The sequence below is a fragment of the Homo sapiens genome, chromosome 11 (genome assembly GCF_000001405.40).
Source record: "Homo sapiens chromosome 11, GRCh38.p14 Primary Assembly".
Taxonomy (NCBI): Eukaryota; Metazoa; Chordata; class Mammalia; order Primates; family Hominidae; genus Homo; species Homo sapiens.
Window position 1 is genome coordinate 62,154,423 of NC_000011.10, and position 6,968 is coordinate 62,161,390.

Consider the following 6,968-nt stretch of genomic DNA (forward strand, 5'->3'; position numbering starts at 1 on the left):
ATTTTAGGATTAGCTTAGCTACAAAAGTCCTGCTGGGATTTTGATTAGAATTGCATTAAATCTATAGATAAGTTTGGGGAGAATTAACATATTTATGATCGCCTTTTAATCCGTGAACATGACGTGTCTCTCCATTTATTTGCATGTTTAGTTTCTTTCTTCAGCATTTTATAGTTTTAGCATACAGATCTTGTACATATTTTCTTAGATTTGTAACTATTTTCTTGGAGCTGTTGTAAATGGTATTGTTTTTCTGATTTTTGGTTTCTACTTGTTCATTGCTGGTGTATAGAAATACAGTTGGCTTTTGTGTCGGCTTTGTATCCCGTGATGCAAGTAAAGCAGTACTGAGGGGAATTTATAGGGCTCAATGCCTGTGTTAGAAAAAAAGGTCTCAAATCAGTGACCTCAGCTTCCACTTTAAGAAACTAGGAAAAAAAGACCAAATTAAAAGTGTACACAGAAAAGGGGAAATCATGCAAGTAAAACAGAAATTAGACATTAGGAAGAGAAAATATAGAAAATTAATTAACCAAAAGCTGGTTCTTTGAGAAGCTCAAGAAAATTCTCTTTAGACTGATCAGGAGAAAAGATAGATTACCAATGTCAGAAATTAGGTAGCTTCACTACAGATTCTACAGATATTACAACAATAATAAGAGACTATTACGAATAACTTCTAGGAATACATTTGACAATTTAGATGAACCCATGCAGATTCCTTAAAAGATACAAATTAGTTTACTTAGGAAGAAGTGGAAAACCTACATAGCTCTATGAAAGATGTGTTATCACAAAGAAAACGGTAGACATAGGTAGCTTTAGTGGTAAATGTTGCCACGTATTTAAGGGAATAATACTAATTCTGCACAACCTCTCACAAGAAATATAAGAGGAAAGAATACTCAGTTCTGTCTCTGAGGCCAGCATTGCTTTGATCCCCAAATCAGACATTGCAAGAAAAGAAGACAATTATCCCTCATGAACATCAACACAAGAATTCTTAGAGTTTTATCAAGTCCAACAAGTTAAATAAAAAGGATTACACTTTTTGTTGTTGTTGTTGTTGTTGTTGGAGGCAGGGTCTCACTCTGTTGCCCAGGCTGGAGTGCAGTGGTGGGATCTCGGCTTGCTGCAACCTCTGCCTCCTGGGTTTAAGAAACTCTTGTGCCTTGGCCTCCTGAGTAGCTGGGATTACGGGTATGCACCACCAGCCCAGCTAATTTTTGTATTTTCAGTAGAGATGGGGTTTTGCCATGTTGGCCAGGCTGGTCTCAAACTCCTGGCCTCGAGTGACCCACCTACCTTGTCCTCCCAAAGTGCTGAGATTACAGGTGTGAGCCACTATGCCCGGCCAGGATAATGCATCTTGACCAAACAGAGTTTATCTTAGGAATGCAAGGCAGGTTTAACATTTGGAAGTTAATGTAATTCACTATTAATTATAGAGGAGGAAAATCATATGATTAAATTAATAGATACAGAAATTCAATGATTTGATGATTCCATACTAGTAATTTAAGATAAAAGCTTTAAGATTTAAAGGGAATTTCCTCAGTTTGATAGGGCACTTCTACAAAACTCCAGCAAACACTTCCTAGTGAATGTCTAGATGCATTCCTCCTGCTACCAAGTCAAGTACAAGGATGCCCACTCTCATTCCTTCTGAACATTTTATGGTAGTTCTGGCCAGCACAGTAAGGCAAAAAGAAAAAGGCATTGGGAAAGAAGAATTAAAACCTGCCAGAGACAACTTGTAGAATATCTGATAGTATCTACCTAAAAGCTATTAGGATTAATATGGGCTTGGCATACAAGGTTAATATACAAAAATCTATTGTATTTCTATGTACTAGCCATGTGCAACCAGGAATTGAAATTTAAGGAATACAGTTTATAATGTCCAAAATTATCAAAATCTAAGGAATAAGTCTGACAAAAGATCAGGAAGACCTGTGCAATACAGTGAGAACTTCAAAAGGTTGCTGAGAGAAATCAATGAAGACTTAAGTGGGATATATACTGTGTTCATGGATCAGAAACTCAGTGTACTGAAGATGTCAGTTTCCCCCTAAAAGATTTAGCCCAGTCTTAACCAATTCCAAATGGCCTTTTATTTATTTATTTATTTTGGAGAGTGTCACTTTGTCGCCTAGGCTGGAGTGTAGTGGCATGATCTCTGCCTCCCGAGTTCAAGTGAGTCTTGTGCCTCAGCCTCCCAAGTAGCTGGGACTACAGGTGTGTGCCATCATGCCTGGCTAATTTTTGTATTTCTAGTAGAGATGGGGTTTGCTATGTTGGTCAGGCTGGTCTCACTCTAGTGATACACCTGTCTTGGCCTCCCAAATTGCTGGAATTACAGGCATGAGCCACTGCACCCAGCCCCAAATGGCTTTTTTTTTTTTTTTTTTTGGATAGAAGCTTATGAAAAAATTTGGTTTTACAATTTATATTTATGCTGGGTACAGTGGCTCACACCTATAATCCTAGGACATTGGGAGTCTGAGGTGGGCGGATGGCTTGAGCCCAGAAGTCTGAGACCAGCCTGGGCAACATCGTAAATCCCTGCCTCTACAAAAAATACAAAAATTAGCTGAGCACGTATCTGTAGTCCCAGCTACTCAGGAGACTGAGATGGGAGGATCACGTGAGCCTGGGAAGTCCAGACTGCAATAAGCAGTGATTGTGTCACTGCTCTCCGGCCTGGGTGACACAGCAAGACCCTGTCTCAAAAATTGTATTTAACAGCATAGGACCTACAATAGCTAAAACAACTTAAAAATAACAAATTTGGAGAGGTCACACTACCTGCAAGGCTCACTTCAAAGCTACAGGAGGAGATTGATTTGAGTAATAATAAAACTCCGATCTCCCGCACAGCTGGCTCTGCATGAATTACTCTTTCTTTATTTTGATTCCCCTGTCTTGATGAATAGGCTCTGTCTAGGCAGCGGGCAAGGTGAATCCCTTGGGCAGTTACAAATTTGGGGGCTCATCTGGGATTGCGCTTGTGGCTACATGCTTGTGGTTCGGTGGACCCCCTTCAGTGATGGATCCAGTGTCAGCCCAAGCGGCTGCCTAGTTCTCAAAGCTACAAGAATCAGGATAGTATATTGGTATAAAGGTAGTCATAGATACATGAAATTTTATGGAATCCAGAAATAGAACTACACATATATAATCACTTGGTTTTGGCAAAGGTGGAAAGGCAATTCAATGGGGGCAGCATAATTTTTTCAACAAATTGTCGTGGAACAACTGGATACGTTTTTAAAAAGCTCCAGCCCTTCTTAACACCATATATCAGGTTTAATTCCTAATGGATCATAGGCCTAAATGTAAGAGCTAAAAATACAACACTCCTAGAAGAAAACGGATTGCTGGGAAGATGGCCAAACAGGAACCTCTCTAGTCTGCAGCTCCCAGTGAGATTGAGGCATAAGGCAGGTGATCTCTGCATTTCCAACTGAGGTACCCAGTTCACCTCACTGGGACTGGTTGGACAGTGGGTGCAGCCCACAGAGGGCGAGCCAAAGCAGGGTGGGGCGTTGCCTCACCTGGGAAGTGCAAGGGGTCGGAATTCTCTCCCTACCCAAGGGAAGCCGTGAGGGACTGTGCCTGAGGAACAGTGCACTCCAGCCCAGATACTGCACTTTTCCCAATGTCTTTGTAACCTGCAGAACAGGAGATCCCCTCCAATCCTACGCCATCAGGGCCCTGGGTTTCAAGCACAAAACTGGGTGACCATTTGGGCAGACACTGAGCTAGCAGCAGGAATTTTTTTTTCCCATAACCCAGTGGTGCCTGGAACGCCAGTGAGACAGAACCATTACTGCCCTGGAAAGGGGCTGAAGCCAGGGAGCCAAGTGGTTTGGCTTGGTGGGTCCCAGCCACCACAGAGCATTGGTGAACATGAAAGTGACAGGGAGAATGGAACCAAGTTGGAAAACACTCTTCAGGATATTATCCAGGAGAACTTCCCCAACCTAGCAAGACAGGCCAACATTCAAATTCAAGAAATACAGAGAATACCACAAAGATACTCCTTGAGCAACCCCAAGACACATAATCGTCAGATTCACCAAGGTGGAAATGAAGGAAAAAATGTTAAGGGCAGCCAGAGAGAAAGGTCAGGTTACCCACAAAGGGAGGCCCATCAGACTAACAGTGGATCTCTCTGCAGAAACCCTACAGGCCAGAAGAGAGTGGGGGGCCAATATTCAACATTCTTAAAAGAATTTTCAACCCAGAATTTCATATCCAGCCAAACTAAGTTTCATAAGAGAAGGAGAAATAAAATCCTTTACAGACAAGCAAATGCAGAGAGATTTTGTCCCCACCAGGCCTGCTTTACAAGAGCTCCTGAAGGAAGCACTAAACACTGAAAGGTACAACTGGTACCAGCCACTGCAAAAACATACCAAATTGTAAAGACCATCAACACTATGAAGAAAATTCACAACTAACAGGCAAAATAACCAGCTAGCATCAAATTTGACAGGATCAAATTCACACATAACAATATTAACCTTAAATGTAAATGGGCTGAATGCCCCAATTAAAAGACACAGACTGGCAAATTGGATAAAGAGTCAAGATCCATCGGTGTGCTGTATTCAGGAGACCCATTTAACGTGCAAAGACACACATAGGCTCAAAATAAAGGGATGGAGGAATATTTACCAAGCAAATGCTAAGCAAAAAAAAGCAGGGGTTGCAATCTTAGTCTCTGATAAAACAGACTTTAAACCAACAAAGATCAAAAGAGACAAGGGCATTACATAGTGGTAAAGGGATCAATGCAACAAGAAGTGCTAACTACCCTAAATATAAATGCACCCAATACAGGAACACTCAGATTCATAAAGCAAGTTCTTAGAGACATACAGAGAGACTTAGACTCCCACACAATAAGAATGGGAGACTTTAGCACCCCACTGTCAATATTAGATAGATCAATGAGAAGAAAATTAACAAGGATATTCAGGACTTGAACTCAGCTCTGGACCAAGTGGACCTTATAGACATCTACAGAACTCTCCACCCCAAATCAACAGAATATACACTCTTCTCAGCACCTCATCACACTTATACTAAAACTGATCACATAATTGGAAGTAAAACACTCCTCAGCAAATGCAAAAGAATGGAAATCGTAACAGTCTCTCAGACCACAGTGCAATCAAATTAGAACTCAGATTAATAAAACTCACTAAAAACTGCACAACTACATGGAAACTGAACAACCTGCTCCTGAAAGACTACTGAGTAATGAAATGAAGGCAGAAATAAAGATGTTCTTTGAAACCAATGAGAATGACACAATGTACCAGAATCTCTGGGATACATTTAAAGCAGTGTGTAGAGGGAAATTTACAGAACTAAATGCCCACAAGAGAAAGCAGGAAAGATCTAATATCGACACTGAAACATCACAATTAAAAGAACTAGAGAAGCAAGAGCAAACAAATCAAAAGCTAGCAGAAGACAAGACATAACTAAGATCAGAGCAGAACTGAAGGAGATAGAGACACAAAAAACCCTTCGAAAAAAATCAATGAATCCGGAGTCGGTTTTGTGAAAAGATCAACAAAATAGATAGACGACTAGCCAGACTAATAAAGAAGAAAAGAGAGAAGAATCAAATACACGCAATAAAAAATGATAAAGAGGATCCTACAGAAATACAAACTACCATCAGAGAATACTATAAATACCTCTACCCAAATAAACTAGAAAATCTAGAAGAAATGGATAAATTCCTGGACACATACACCCTCCCAAGTCTAAACCAGGAAGAAGTCGAATCCCTAAATAGACCAATAACAAGTTCTGAAATTGAGGCAGCAATTAATAGCCTACCAACCAAAAAAAGTTCAGGACCAGATGGATTCACAGCCGAATTCTACCAGAGGTACACAGCCGAATTCTGGTAGAAGGTACCATTCCTTCTGAAAGTATTCCAAACAATAGAAAAAGAGGGAATCCTCCCTGATTCATTTTATGAGGCCAGCATTATCCTGATACCAAAACCTGGCAGAGACACAACAAAAATAGAAAATTTCGGGCCAATATTCCTGATGAACATTGATGTGAAAATCTTCAATAAAATACTGGCAAACTGAATCCAGAAGCACATCAAAAAGCTTATCCACCATGATCAAGTTGGCTTCATCCCTGGGATGCAAGCCTGGTTCAACATAAGCAAATCAATCAAGGTAATTCATCACATAAACAGAACCAATGACAAAAACCACGATTATCTCAATAGATGCAGAAAAGGCATTCGACAAAATTCAACACCCTTCATGCTAAAAACTCTCAATAAACTAGGTATTGATGGAACATATCTCAAAATAATAAGAGCTATTTATGACAAACCCACAGCCAATATCATACTGAATGGGCAAAAATTGGAAGCATTCCTTTTGAAAACCACCACAAGACAAGGATGCCCTCTCTCACCACTCCTATTCAACATAGTATTGGAAGTTCTGGCCAGGCCAATCAGGCAAGGGAAAGAAATAAAGTGTATTCAAATATGAAAAGAGGAAGTCAAATTGTCTCTGTTTGCAGATGACATGATTGTATATTTAGAAAACTCCACCATCTCAGCCCAAAATCTCCTTAAGCTGATAAGCAACTTCAGCAAAGTCTCAGGATACAAAATCAATGTGCAAAAATCACAAGCATTCCTATACACCAATAATAAACAGAGAGCCAAGTCATGAGTGAACTCCTGTTCACAATTGCTACAAAGAGAATAAAATACCTAGGAATACAACTTACAAGGGATGTGAAGGACCTTTTCAAGGAGAACTACAAACCACTGCTCAAGGAAATAAGAAAGGACACAAATAAATAGAAAAACATTCCATGTTCATGGATAGAAAGAATCAATATCGTGAAAATTGCCATACTGCCCAAAGTAATTTATAGATTCAATGCTATCCCCATCAAGCCGCCAT